The sequence below is a fragment of the Homo sapiens genome, chromosome 1, assembly GCF_000001405.40.
Source record: "Homo sapiens chromosome 1, GRCh38.p14 Primary Assembly".
Lineage (NCBI taxonomy): Eukaryota > Metazoa > Chordata > Mammalia > Primates > Hominidae > Homo > Homo sapiens.
In genome coordinates, this window is record NC_000001.11 from 230,797,010 (window position 1) to 230,812,468 (window position 15,459).

The 15,459-nt window shown below is 42.3% G+C and overlaps 1 protein-coding gene and 1 long non-coding RNA gene across 11 annotated transcripts in view; one reads left to right on the forward strand and one right to left on the reverse strand.

Moving 5' to 3' along the window:
- Positions 1 to 4,980, forward strand: part of CAPN9 (calpain 9) — a 54,602-nt gene extending 49,622 nt beyond the window's left edge. For 7 of the 10 annotated variants that reach the window (XM_011544017.2, XM_011544018.2, XM_017000098.2 and 4 more), the window contains one exon: positions 4,561 to 4,980. In XM_011544017.2, the coding sequence (XP_011542319.1) occupies positions 4,561 to 4,739 (179 nt within the window). In that variant the 3' untranslated portion in view covers positions 4,740 to 4,980. Of the gene's footprint in view, positions 1 to 1,152; positions 1,212 to 4,560 lie in introns of all 10 variants that reach the window. The other 3 variants (NM_006615.3, NM_016452.3, NM_001319676.2) reach the window with 1 other exon arrangement.
- LOC124904546 (uncharacterized) lies at positions 4,374 to 10,107 on the reverse strand. The gene is made up of 2 exons (XR_007066937.1): positions 10,060 to 10,107; positions 4,374 to 4,726 (listed from the first exon to the last, which is right to left on the reverse strand). It is a non-coding gene; the product is annotated as an uncharacterized LOC124904546 (long non-coding RNA).
- Between the last annotated feature and the right edge of the window lie 5,352 nt (positions 10,108 to 15,459).

Below are 15,459 nucleotides of genomic sequence, written 5' to 3' on the forward strand. Positions count from 1 at the left end.
AAAGAATCATAATAGGTTCCCATGCACTCCACATCAGCACTTCTCAAACTTCGCTGTACATTACAATCTCCAGGGGTGCCTAAAGAAATGCTGATGACCAGGCTGCACAGTTGACCAATTCTGTTAGAATCTCAGGGGTGGCACACAGCATTGGGAGTTACGCAAATTCGCCAGGTGTTTCCAGACCTTTACACCCAACCTCAACAATTACCATCTTGCTAACTTTTCCCTTGTGCTCCCGCAACACATACATTTTCCCCCTAAATAATTTAATAGCAGATCTCAGAAACTCTGTCCATTCATCTGAGTATCTCCAGCTGATAGACTTGTTTTTAGCATCATCTTCATACCATTTGCACACCTAACGAAATTCTCAGCAAACCCTCAACATTCTCTAGTGCCCGGTTCATGCCCAAGTCTTCCAGGCCACCTTTTTACAGTTGCTTGGTTGACTCAGGATCCACACAAGACCCAGTCACCATGTTTGGTTGTTGGGTCTCTTCCATTTCTTGTGTCCAGTGATGGTCCCCCACCCCGCTTTGGGTTGTATTATTAAAGCTACCCGAGAGATTCTCAAGTGAAGCCAGGGCTGATTGGCTCGACCTCGTCTTCTGAAGGTGAGGAGGCTGAGGCCCCAAGAGGGCAGTGACTTGCTCAGGTGCACTCAGGTCACTACACCATGCGGTAGACCCAGCCCCCAGCTCAGTGCTGGCACGCTCTCCTGTGCCACTCTGTCCTCTGACAGCACCCACGGCACCTTCCTACAAGGGCGAGACTAACAACTTTCAGATTCATGCAAAACTTTACGTGCGTGTGCTTTTTTTCTGGGGCCTATGGATTTCAAGGGCCCTGTACCCCCCAGAAGGTTAAGATAGGGGCGTTGCTTTGGCTCCAGGAGCTGCTGGCCGGCTGACTGGCTTAGGTGACCACTGGCTTGCTACAGGACTGGATGCCTCCATCCGTTCAGAGAAGTTCACCTTCAGCCCGCCCTTGATGAGAGTCCCATCGCCGCCCTTGATGAAAGTCCTTGTTTACCACCAGATGGAGCAGCTTCCCCACAGGCTCCACTGGAAGGCCCTTTGGTCGCTGGGAAACAAACTTGGTAAAGGAATTGTCTTTAAAAGGATGCCTTTCCCCCTTCTCTCCTATCAGGGGTGTTCCAGGCTCTCAGTACAAAGAACAAGGAGTTCATTCATCTCAATATAAATGAGGTATGGCCAATCCAGACCCTCTGCTCAGGGACCCAGCTGGGGCCCAGCAGAGTCCACGCTGCATAGATGTTTGCCGAATGCTTGATTTCATGCAAGGGCTGACATCTAGCTGTGGGAGTGATTATAACAAAATAGCTAATATTTTTGAGATACTATTTATCAAGTAATCAATTAAGCCATTACAATAATTCTGTGAGCTAAGTACCAATAGTATCCCCATTTTGCAGGGTGGAAACTGAGGCATAGAGAGATTAATCACCTTGACTTGAGTGAGTGAGCAGACTCTGCCTTCTTGTCCTTCTCTTCCTTCTGTCATTTGGGTAACTTAGCCTGCCTGCCTTCCAGCTGCCAGTTTGCTCACTCTCCCTTGCTCATGTTGTCCCGTGGTTCCCATGACACTCCCCCAGACTCCAATAAGTACAAAACTGGCCAGTTACCGGGGCCATTGTAGCAATGACGGGGGTGGGAGACCATGGGTCTGAGTGTCAGAGGTATGGGAGAAGGATTCCAGGGGGTTTCAATCACCCTCTCCCCAGAGGATCCCAGTGGACCCATCTGCTCACAGGGAGGTCCATGGGCCAGCAGCAGCATAGGCATCACTTAGGAGAGAGCGTTGGAAATGCAGAGTGCCAGGCCCTGCCCCAGACCTGCTGAATGGAAGTCGTCTTTCACAGGACCCCACTGATTCCTGTGCACATGAAGCTTGGGAACGCTCTTGAGACATTCTCCTGCCCAAAGGCAGAGGGGAAACTGTGGAGCAGTTTCCTTCAATGGTTCTGTAATTTTTATCTCCCTTTTCCTTCTTTCCCTCCCTGTATCTTTCTTTCCAGGTCTGCTTTCTCTTCTACCTAACAACTCTGAAGCCAGGCAGCCTGTGGCTCCTCCCCAGTCTCTGGAGTTTCTCCTCTCCACCAATTTCCATACTCACAGTCACAGCCAGCTCATTTCCAAATTCATTAGTAACTTTGGGTTTGGATAACATTTAATTGAATATTTCAAGATGAAGAGGTTGATGACAGTATGTGTTTTAGAGGATTGTACCTCCTCCCCTCTTTTGTGCTCTGATTTCGATTAAGCAGGCTGCTCGGTGCCTCAGTTTAACCATTTACAGAAAGAGACATAGGCCTTAATATTACACCCAAAGCTTTGCTTTATAATAATATCATATAATTTGGCAATTATGTTGACTCACCACTAATTTTCTCAAGTGTGTATCTCAGATCCCTGGACGCATTATTATTTCATTGAGCCAATTACGTATTATTACGGTGAGCCAAATGGGGATACTATTGGTACTTAGCTCACAGAATTATTGTAATGGCTTAATTGATTACTTCATAAATAGTATCTCAAAAATATTAGCTATTTTGTTATAATCACTCCCACAGAAACTAGGCATTTTTCTTCTCTAGTTTTGTCTTTCAACTTCAGCATGTAGGACACATGTAATAACTATACCTCCTTTGATCAATCCAAGATTCCAAAGAAAGATGTGCACACACAAATTATTCTTTTATGAAAATAAGAGGAAGCTGGGCATGGTGGTGTGCACCTGCAGTCCCAGCTATTTGGGAGGCCTAGGCGGGAGGATTGCTTGAGGCCAGGGGTTTGAGCATGCAGTGAGCTATGATCTCGCCACTGCACTCCAGCCTGGAAGAGAGTGATAGCAAGACCCTGTCTCTTAAAAAAGAAAGGAATTTGTAATCCCAGCACTCTGGGAGGCTGAGGCGGGTGAATCACGAGGTCAGGAGATCGAGACCATCCTGGCTAACACGGTGAAACCCCATCTCTACTAAAAATACAAAAAATTAGCCTGGCATGGTGGCGGGCGCCTGTAGTCCCAGCTACTCGGGAGGCTGAGGCAGGAGAATGGCATGAACCCGGGAGGTGGAGCTTACAGTGAGCCAAGATTGTGCCACTGCACTCCAGCCTGGGCGACAGAGTGAGACTCCATCAAAAGAAAGAAGGAAAGAAGGAAAAGAAAGAAAAGAAAGAAAAATAAGAAAGAAAGAAGAAAGAAAGAAAGAAAGAAAGAAAGAAAGAAAGAAAGAAAGAAAGAAAGAAAGAAAGAAAGAAAGAAAGAAAGGAAAAACAAGAGAGACCCCTAGGTCCACCTTTATTTATCATTTACTTTAAGGTAAATGATAAGTAATGTCACTAAAAAACATGAGGAAGTGTGATGGCTGCCCCTGGTCCATGGTGGAAGGAGACAGTGGGAAGGTTTGTTACTCAGCGGCCCCCTGGCTAGTCAAAGGCTCCAGAGCACCAGCAGTGTGGAGGAAGTATTCCAGTGCTGCAGCTTCAAGGTAGAAGTGTGGACACCTCTAACGCAAGTGTCCACAGGTGTAGGGGCTGGAATAGGCTCCTGCCCTGCCCCATATCATCACCCTGCAGTACAACAGTGAAAACCATTGCATTCTCTCCCTCTAAACCTACCATCTTTACATCTGGCTGCATGTTAGCATCACCTGGGGAGATTTAAAAATCCTGATACCCCAGCCACTCCCTAGATCAATTAAATCTGAATCTCTGGAGGTGAGGCCCAAGCATTGTTTTTCTTTAATCCCCTTGGTGAGTCCAGTGTGCAGCCAGGTCTGAAGTATCCATGTTTTAAAGTCCCTCTCCTTTTCCCCTGACCCATCCTAGGAAGCAACAGGAGATTTTCCTGGCTGAGTTGGCCTCACCTGCAATCACTTTCCTAAAAAGGCCTGTGCACCTTTCATTACAGTAGCTCTCATACTATATACACTGTGCCCAGGAAGGAGGACAGAGAAGGGAGAAAAAAACCATCTCATATAATCACGTTGCCCCAAGTCACCATGCTGTAATAAACAAGCTGTTGGGAAGGAGGAGGCAGGGTGGACTCGGGAGAGAAAATGAGGAGGAATTCCATGCTACTTCTCCTTCAGCTCACTTGTAACACCCCCCAGCTATGGAACCTGCTTCCACTTCCTGCAGCCCCTCCAGGGTGGAGGGCCACCTCTCTCCCAAAGGTGAGAGGACCCCTCATCAACAAGGAAAAGTCACTTAATACTGCCCTGCCCAAGATGCTTCAGCGAGGCTGTCCTCTTAACAGGGAGAAAGCACATTTTCCCGTCTCTGTCTTACCAACTGTGCTTGATATGAGCTCACTTGGAAAGGACTCAGGTCCTCCAGAAAATGTCAAGTGCTGAGAATTCATTTATTTTCTTTAAATGGTTTCCTGCTGAGACAGACATCCAAGTTGGCAGGCAAAATGATCAAATAGCAGATCTCCTGTGATATCAGCAAACTGGGGCCACTCCTGAGGCTGAGGCTGGAAGGGACATGGAAGGACAACGACCCCTCATCTCTCTCTCTCTCTTCCCAGTTCATCCATTTGACAATGAACATCTGAGGCTGCCTTGTAGAGATGCAGCCTGCCCAGCTGAATCTTGGCTTCTGGACCTTGACCTTCAGAACTTCTCTTGGTGTGGAACCATTACGCCCAGGGTTCACTCCCCTCTCATCGTCCGGCCTTCTCCCTTCATCTTGATCTGGGAAGAATGAAATGAACTCAGCTACACTCTCTGATTTTGTGCTACTCCTTTGTAAAGTCACTGCCTTAAGGGGGCTGATGGCGCCACCTGTGCCTTACATCCAGGTTCAGGCATCACTAGCTTTCCCACACTCTACTTTCCTTATTTCCTTCCATTAAGAATTACTCAGAGTTCTAACGCACAGAATCCTGACTTCCATGTAGCTCCAGTCATTGTGATCAGACATCCTTTATAAAACATGTTTTTATAAATGTGTATGTGGAATAAGATGAGGAGGAAAAGGAGTGAGGTCATAATTTAGCATTTCTGCATCATAAGTGTGCTTCCTTATCAGGGAAGACATCAGGTAGTTCCGATAATTGGACAAGAGTGGATCTCCGATAAGAGTGGATCAAGGTGACAATCTCTACCTCCTCCTACGAGAGGTGGTAACTAAAACAGTCACTATCCAGTCCAGACATTCTTTGTGTCTGAAGACTTTGGGTCAGAAAAGCTGAATGATATTATTTCTTCTCAAGGAGTCCAGATTCTGGTGAGGTTTGATCTTACTCATCCCCAACATGATGGGGGAAAACAGACCCGAGAATCCTCATTATAGCTCACTAGTGCTGAACAGGAGTATCCACTGAACTAGAATAATGGGAGGTAACATGAGAAGATACTGGCTCAATACATGCCAAGCCCCACATTCTTACTGGTACACTTGTGGCAGATGAGGTGGAGGATGGGAGCGGGAGATACCGAGAGGGAAAGAGGGAGAATGGCTGGGATGAAGATCAAGTTAGAAGTGGAGGCTGAGCATGGTGGCTTACACCTGTAATCCCAGCACTTTGTGAGGCCAAGGTGGGAGGATCACCTGAGGTCAGGAGTTCAAGACCAGCCTGGCCAACATGGCAAAACCCAATCTCTACTAAAAATACAAAAATTAGCTGGGCGTGGTGGCGGGTGCCTGTAATCCCAGCTACTCAGGATGCCGAGGCAGGAGAATCACTTGAACCCAGGAGGCAGAGGTTGCAGCCTGGCGACAAGAGCGAGACTCAGTCTCAAAAAAAAAAGAAGTGGAGCTTCATCAGAACCCTGTCCCTGATCGTGGCCAAGGTACCATGATCTTCTCCTTTACCTTCCAGCCCTTCCCTGGGTTCACGCAGCAGTGGATGCAGGACAAGAGCCCTCTCTCAGGAGCAGGCTTAGGACCAAGGCTCTGTGCTGGGGCACGCCAGTACAACCCCAGACATGCCATCTCCTGTGCTCGGCCTGTGCCCACTCTCATCGATGCACACTGCTGCCATATTGTTTGTTAGATGTCGTGAACACTAGCCCTGCTCACAGGTAAAACTTGGAAGGGGACTCACCATATGAGCTTCTTTGTCTAGTGTCACTCCCACAGGGTGCCTTTAGGCCTTTATGTCCAGGAGCACATAACTGTCTCTCACTGATTTTTCCTCTGCTTGAAAGGTACCCAGGAAATGAAGTTTATGAACTGGGCGTCCTGTTTTCTTTCCATCCATATGTCCCTGGGAAAGTTATTAAACTCTCTGAGACTTAGTTTCCTCCACTCACAAGGATGGTAATTTCTGCCTCACTGAGATCTTATGATGAATAAATGAAATTGTAAGTAGAAGGTGCCAGGCACAGTACTTGACACATAACAGGCCCTCAGTGCAACTAAGGCCCACTGTTGTGAACCAGTGTTTTCTTAAATGTCTAAAAGAGTTACATACTATCACATGCTTTCGGTTTACCTCTGTTCTTCATTGCAAGAATCCAAGAATTATAGAACCAGTCTTGAAGGAGAGTTCAATAGAGCTCTACAGACTATTATATGATCATGAGTTGAGAACAAAAAAAAGTGTATGAATTTAGCTTCTATTTGTTTCTGAATTACATGGTCTGATACTGACACCCAGAAACAAAGGAAGATGTTTCACATGCATGAGTTTGATTAACTATAATTAAAGTGATTTTGTAGCTTATAATTCAAACCAACAGCTTTTGAGTGTGAAAGGAATAATATTAGTTATTACACCAGGACAATAGATGTAAACTGGAGCTGTCCTAGGAAAATTGCGATTTATGGCCATTCACATTATGTCTATCACCACCTGCATAATATATGCTTTAGGTCTTGGCACCAAAATATTCGTGCCCTACTACCTTTAAATTAAACAGTGGCTGGGCATGGTGGCTCACGCCTGTAATCCCAGCACTTTCAGAGGTCAAGGCGAGCAGATCACGAGGTCAGGAGTTCGTGACCAGCCTGGTCAATGTGGTGAAACCCCATCTCTGCTAAAAATACAAAAATCAGCTGGGTGTAGTGGTGCGTGCCTGTAGTCCCAGCTACTCAGGAGGCTGAGGCAGAAGAATCGCTTGAACCCAGGAGGTGGAGGTTGCAGTGAGCCAAGATCGTGCCACTGCTCTCCAGCCTGAGGGACAGAGCAAGACTCCATCTCAAAAAAATAAAAAATACAAAAAAAAAAAGAGAGAGAGAAAACAAAATAACTGGGTGTGGTGGTGCATGCCTGTAATCACAGCTACTAGGGAGGCTGAAGCAGGATAATTGCTTGAACCCAGGAGGCGGAGGTTGCAGTGAGCCGAGATCGTGCCACTGCACTCCAGCCTGGGTGACAGAACGAGACTTTCTCAAAAATAAAAATAAAAATAAATTAATTAAACAATAGTATACACAAGCTATCTAACGCTACTGCTTCACACCAAAATCACATGAAATACAAAGAGATACACACCTAGACACATCAAAGTCAAACTGTTGGGAAAAAAAGAGAAAATCTGAAAAGCAGCTTGAGAAAAATGACTCATCATGAACAGGGAACAATGCAATTAGCAACTGACTTCTCATCAGAAATGACAGACGACAGAAGGCAGTAGAATGACATTCCAAGTGCCAAAGGAAAAATCTTTCAATCAAGAATTCTGTTTTTCCACTAGAACTGCAAAAATGAAAGCACAATAAAGATATTCCCAGTTAAACAAAGACTGAGAGAATTCATTATTAGCTGACCTGCCACTGGAAAAATATTAAAGGATGTATTTCAGGGTGAAAGGAAATAAAACTAGATGAGACTGTGGATCTGTAGAAAGAAATGAAGAGCACTCAAAAGGATATCTGTGGGTAAATGTAAAAGACTATATAAACGTGTTATCTTCCATTCTAATTTTGTTTGAAGACATTAGATTATATAAAGCATTAATTATTGTACTATGTTGTTGGATTTATAACAATAGAGAGATATATTATAAAGGAGAGAGGAAGAAACAAAGTATTGTAGCAATATTTCTATATTTTCTTAGAATTAAGTCAGTATTACCTCAGGTAATGATATTAGATATTAGATGGTTATAAATTAAGATGCAGATTGTAATCTACAGAGCAACCACTAAGAAAATAACTCAAAAATACAGTAAGATAGCAGAGGAATCAAAGCAGAATACTTAAAAAAAATGTTTAGCACAAAAGCCGTAAGGGAAGAACAGATTTTAAAAATAAGACATAGAAACAAAATGGCATACCTTAATCCAGCCATGCTGATAATAATATTAAATATGAATAAAAACTACAATCAAAAGGCAGTGATTGTCAAAATGGATAAAAAAGCAAGATTCAATTGTACACTATCTACAAGAGATACTTCATACAAAAAGACAAAAGTTGGAAGTAAAAGGATGAAAAAGAGAGTACCATGCAAATACTGGCAATAAGAGAGCTTGAGTGCCTACATCAATATCTGAGAAAATAAAATTTAAGACAAGAAATATTATTAGAGAGAAGAAATGATATTACAGTATCATAAAGGGTCAATACATTAGGAATATATAATAATTACAAGTGTGATGGTACCTAATAGTAGAGTCTCAAAATTATGAAGCAAAAATTGATATAATTGAAAGAAGAAACAGATTATTCAGACTTAACAATTATAGTTAGAGAGTTCAATAACCCATTTTTAATAACTGATAGGACAACTATTCAGAAAATTAACAAGGAAATAGAAGACATGAACAACACTATCAACCAACTTGACTAACTGACATTTATAGAATACTTTACCCTCAAGTAATGAATACACATTTTTTCAAAAGCACATGGAACTTTCTCCAGGTTAGACCATATACTAGACCATAAAACTAATTTTTAATATATTTAAAAGAATTTAAATCACTCAGAGTATGTTCTCCAGCCACAAAGGAATTAAATTAGAAACAAAAATAAGTTTGGGAAATCCTCAAATTTTAGAAATTAACACATTTCTAAATAACTATGAGTTGAAGAGAAAAATTACAATGGAAATTAGAAAGATTTTGAACTGAATGAAACAAAAATAAACTATGTATTTACACATGTCTATACACATCCACATTAACCGGATTAAGCTAAAGCAGGACCTAGAAAAGTAGAGTGTTCTCAAAACAATAATTTAAGCTTCCATCTTAAGAAATTAGAGAGAGAGGCAAATTAAACCTTAAAAGGAAAGAAATAAAGACTAAAGCAGAAATCAATTGACTAGCAAAGAGAAAAATAATAGAGAACATCAAAGAAACAAAAAGGTGATTCTTAAAAAAGATTGCAAAATTGATAAACTTTTAGCTAAACTGACCAAGAAAAAAGACAGAAAACACAAATTAACAATCAAGAATCTAAGAGCAGCCGTCATTGCTGACCCATCAGAAATTAAAAGAATGATAAGTGAATATTTTAAACAACTTTATGTCAACAAATCAGACAACTTAGATGGAATGGAAAAAATCCTAGAAAAAGATAAATTACCAAAACTACCTTCAGAGAATACTGAAAATCTGAATAGACCTATGCATTAGTCCACTGTCACAGTCTAATAAAGACATGCCTGAGACTGGGTAATTGATAAAGGAAAGAGATTTAGTTGACTTACAGTTCAGTATGGCTGGGGAGGCCTCAGGAAACATATAATCATGGCGGAAGGTGAAGGGGAAGCAAGATACCCTCTTCACAAAGCGGCAGGAAGGAGAAGTGCCAGCAGGGGAAATACAAGACACTTATAAAACCATCAGATCTCATGAGACTCACTCATTTTCATGACAACAGCATGGGGGAGACTGCCCCCAAGATTCAATTAACCTCCACTTGGTCCTGCCCTTGACATATGAGGAGTATAAGGATTAAATTCAAAGTGAGATTTGGGTGGGGACACAGAGCCAAACCATATCAACCTACAACATGAAACATATCATACCATATCAACCTATAATATTTTGGTCCTGAGACCAAATCCTTTGGACAGTGCCTGGAGAGAGCCTCAGGCCACAGTCATGTTTATCTGAAATACAGGGCCTACCTCCAGGCTCCTCTCCACCCTGTCCTGTGCAGAGCTACGCAGTGCGCTGAGGGGCCAGGGCTTCAGAAAGCCCAGAGCATGTGACCTGGTTGGCAGAGGTACCAGGGTCATTGGTGCCAGCCCAATTCAGTGTACTGGATCATTAGTAGAAACAAAGCACCATTCTACTGAGAGCCAAGACCGCCTGCCAAGTACCAGTGCGAAGGCTGCCTCGTCACCACAGCTGTGAATCAAGAGTAGGCTGTGCTTGCTACTGATGCCAGCCTGGGGCATTTTCCCAGCCCCACAGTGCCTTTCTGAAGTGGGAGAAGGAGAAGCAGAGGGTTAGACTCTCCTTGGTGCCTGAACAGTGCCTCTGATGGAAGAACGTAGCTCAGTGATATTCCCAAGGAGGTTTATTGGTTCATTATCAGTAGGACTCTCCAAGGAAAGGGAACAGCTGAACCATATGGAGCAACTGCAGGCTCATGTAATAGAAGCAGCATTGAACTTAGAGTTTGAGTCCTGTATTCTAGTCTAGAACTTACCTCCAGCTAGCTGTGTGGACTTAACCATATCACTTTACCTCTCTGGGCTGCCTTGCACCTTGAAATTATGTGATTCCTTCTCTCACTCTGGGAACTAGAAGGCCAGGTCAGTGTGGCTCAGTCCTGGTCTAATTGGATGGATGGAGAGAAGGTAGCAGAGGTGGGCCCAGCAAGCCTGAGAATTCATCTTACTCCCTGACAGAGCTCAGAGTTCTGAGAAGAATGTGGTCACGCAGAAGACTCTCTGTAGGCCACATCAGGACCAGGCTTCTTGGAAAGCTGTACTCCTCCTGCCTTTCAACATCTTAACACACTCAGCTCCTCCATTATACACACTTACCTGAACCCAGCTTGTCTGTATGGGTTTAGCATTCTCTCTTGTCCTTCCCAGTCTACCCTCTACATTCTAAAAAGAGAGTCTCCCACCCAGACGATCTCCTTGCAGTCACTTTTCAATGCACCAGAACAGCTTCCTTAGTTGGAACAGTGAACAGTGTGTTTTCAAACAAAAGGGGCTCACTGCCCAATGTGCTAGAAGCCAATGCTATGACACTGTGTTTCTGAGAAAAGAAAAGCTTTATACTGCAAGCTGCTTCACAAGGAGACTAGAACATCGAGCTCAAATCTGTCTTCTTGTGCTGGCTCCAAAGCAGTATTTTTATTAGAAAAGATTCAGAGGCTGTATTCTGAGATCAGTAGGTGATTGGTGGAGGAAAGAGGAGGTCTAGAAAGTCCTTGGGCATGCGTTTTTATCTCTCCATGCCTCCTCATGGGTCCCCTATGCAAATTTCAGGAGAATTAATATGAAACATGTGGTGGAAATTCAGGCTGTGTCATCAGCAAGCTCGTCCTGCACAGACTCCAATTGGCCGTGTTGGTTACAACTGATTTCAGCCAGTTTTTAAAAAATCTCATAGGCAGAGGGAGTTTCAGTGTTTCAGCAAGTTATTTTTTTACCTGCAATGCTGCGAACTCAAGTTTCTGTTAGTCATTGGTTTCTTTAACTATTTGGGGCACAGTTTCAACAGCCCCCTGAAAATGGCCCAATTCAGGGGACAGCATCAGAGGGCATCCTGTGTGGAGTGTCTGCAATGTGAGATGCCATGGACCATGCCTTCCCCCATAAGACTGATTCCTGCTCTAGGCCTGACCCTGCCCTGGCATTCCCCTGCCTCCCTGGCTGCTCTTTCATAGTCTCATCATGCTTTCTCCCTGGGTTTACACCTAATTATTGGTGTTCTTCTCATCTCACTCTATACACTGCTCCTGGTTCACATTTGCTGTTCTAGTCTCCTTGTGAATCAGCTTGCAGTATAAAGCATGTATAAAGGAGTATAAAGCATGTATAAAGGAGTATAAAGCTGTACTCCTCCTGCCTTTCAACATCTCAACACACTCAACTCCTCCATTATACACACATACCAGAACCTGGCTTGTCCATATGGGTTTAGCGTTCTCTCTTGTCCTTCCCAGTCTACCTTCTACATTCTAAAAAGAGAGTCACCCACCCGGACGTCTCCTTGCAGTCACAGGCATGGGAGGAAGCATGGAGACTTTATGTCTCCATCTCTATGTCACTTCCTCCCATGTCTGTGTCTTCACCCTGGCCTCCTTGGGCTTCTTGACAACGCATGGTAGAGGAGAGATGGGTCTGCTCTCACTCTCAGCTCCACCAGGTCTTCCCCAGGGGCCTCTGCTTCTGCACTCTGCGGATACTGGATACCCACTCTGCCAGCGCAGGAAGCCTGCTGAGTAACTCTGTTGCTTACAATAGTTCCTGCCTCCCCATTGCTCCCAGAAAAATGCCAAGAAAGCCAGCAAAGCCCTGGTTACCTCTAGCGTGGTTAGACAAGCCCTTCAGGATGCAGCCCTGGACTGGGACTGACAGGTCTCCCATTTGGAACCGAGGCCCTTAGCCTTGTTTGGCCTCTCAATGCTCGCCCACTGCAGGTCTCCCCCAGGGACGAGGAGCAGCTCAACAGCAGGGGCGAGGTCAAGCCACATTCATTGTCATGTATCCTAGGTGCCCAGCACAGCTTCTGACCCACAGGAGGTGTTGATTAATGTTTGTGGAACAAAAGTGTGGATGAAAGCAAATCTTGGATTCAGAATATATTCCTGTCCCCTTTAGTCCCTTTGAATGGTCAGAATAGGCTTGTGTTTTGTGGCTCTGTGAAGGGTTGCTTACTCAACAGCCATTTGCTGGCAGATAAAACTGGCTCGGTCACTGCTCCAAAAGCATCCAGGGTGTTTGGCTCTGTAGGTGGCATTATGCCTTCCAGATAGAAATTGCAAGCACACAGGGTGGCCCTCATAGGGGCCATGAACATTGTGGTTAAAACCTGTGAGAGAAAACAGGTGCACACCCTTTTGCTAAGCAAAAGAATCAGTGCAATTCATAGAACGTGCCTGCTGTACACAATTATTACAACTTTAAAAACATCACCAACCCAAGCTGCACTCAGTTGGTGTAAAGTCTCTGGAAATGTTAGAGAATGTGGGGTTGAGATTCCCACATAAACCCTATATGATGTTTACCATGATCTATTATTTCATTTGCTAGAAATATAAAACAAATCAGTTATTTACAAAGCTGATTTTTTTTTTTTTTGCTAGGAATTGGTCACTGTATTTGCAGAAACAGAACTTTCCTTAGCTGAAATCACAGAGCTATATATTACTTTGGATGGCATATCATGGGAATGTGCACAATAATAACCCATGAAGTCCTCATTGAACTCTATCCACCAATTATCAGCCCTGCTATTTCTAAACTGCTTTATAAACAGTGGGGTGTTTTGTGATATATTTATTATAACGAGTTTAAGTCATAAAAATATAAGGAAAACACTTTAAAATCTTCCCAAATATCATCATCAGTTTCAACAATCATTTTGTAAATCTTATCGTGATAAAATATGTACAACAAAATATACCATTTAAACCATTTATAGATGTACAGTTTGGTGGTATTAAGTACATTCTCCATGTTGCACAACCATCACCATCATCCATTTTCAGTATGTTTTCAACAAGCCAACAGAAACTATGTAATCATTAAACAATAACTTCCCAGTCCCTCCTCCATCCAGCCTCTGGCAACCTCTATTCCACTTTCTATCTCTATGAATTTGTCTATTCCAGGTATCTGAAATAAGTGGACTCATACAATATTCATCCTTTTGTATCTAGCTTATTTCACTTAGAATAATGTTTTCAAGTTTCATCGTGTTGTGGCATGTATCAATATTTTCTTCCTTTTTCAGGCGAAATAATATTCCACTGTACAGATATCCCACGTTTTGTTTATCCATTCATCTGTTTATGGAATTTAGGTTATTTCCACCCTTTGGCTATTGTGAATAATGTTGCTATAAACATTGGTGTACAAATAGCTGTTGAAGGTCCTGTTTTCTTTCGGGTACATACCCAGCAGAGGAACTGTTGGATCATATTATAATTTTTTAACTTTTCGAGGAATCACCAAACTTTTTTCCACTTTAGCTGTGCCATTTTACATTCCTACTGGCAATGCACAGGGCTCCAATTTCTTCATACCCTCACCAACACTTGTTATTTTTTAACAATAACAGCTATCCTAATGGGTGTGAAGTGGCATCTTGTTGTGGTTTAGATTTATATTTCCCTAATGACAAATAATGTTAAGCACTTTTCATGCACTTATTGTGCATTTGTATGTTTTCTTTAGAGAAATGTCTACTCAAGTCTTTTGCCCATTTTGGAATTGGCTTGTTTTTTATTGTTGAATTGTAGTTCCTATATTCTGAATAGTGATCCTTTAGCAGATATATGATTTACAACTCTATTCTCATTCCATGGATTGTCTTTTTATTCTCTTAATAGTTTCTTTTGTTGCACAAATTTTTTAATTTTGATGAAGTTCATCTATTTTTTTCTTTTATTGCCTATGGTTTTGGAGTTATAACCAAAAAACCATTGCTAAAACCAGTGTCATGAAGATTTTCTCCTATGTTTTTGTCTAGGAGTTTTATAGTTTTAGTCATTAAATTTAGGCCTTTGATCCATTTTGAGTTCATTTTTGTATACGGTGTTCAGTAAGGATCCAATTTCATTCTTTTGCATGTGAATAATCCAATTATCCCAGTACTATTTGTTGAAAAGACTGTCTTTTCCCCCAGTGAATGGTTTTGGTAGTCATCAAAATCAAATGACGATATACGTGAGGTTTTTTTTTTTTTCTGGGCTCTTTATTCCATTCCGCTGGTCTATAGTTCAGTCTTCATGCCAGTTCTACACTGTTTTGATTACTGTAACTTTATAGTAAGTTTTGAAATCAGGAAGTATGAGTCCTCCAACTTTGTTCTTCATTTTCAGGGTTGTTTTGACTTTATTGTTTTATATGGAATTCTTGGAGATTTCATATAAACTTTAGGGTAAGCTTTTCTAGCTCTGCAAAAAAACAGCACCTAGATTTTAATAGGATTGCATTGAATCTGTAGATCACTTTGGGAAATATTGATATCTTAATGTCTTTCAATCATTAACATAGGATGTCTTTCCAGTTATGCCTTCTTTAATTTCATTCAGCAATGTTTTATAGTTTTTGGTGTACAAGTCTTTGCCTTTTTGGTTAAATTTATTTCTAAGGGTTTTTTATGTGCTTGTAAATTAAATTTTTTAAATTTTCTTTTTGAATTGTTCATTACTAGTGTGTAGAAATGCAATTGATATTCATGTGTTGATTTTATACCCTGCAAGTTTGCTGAATTCATTTTTTGACAGATTTTTGTGGAATCATTCTGGTTTCCTGCATATAAGATCATGCCATCTGCAAACAGAGATAGTTTTACTTCTTCCTGCCCATTTGGATGCCTTTTATTTATTTTTCTTG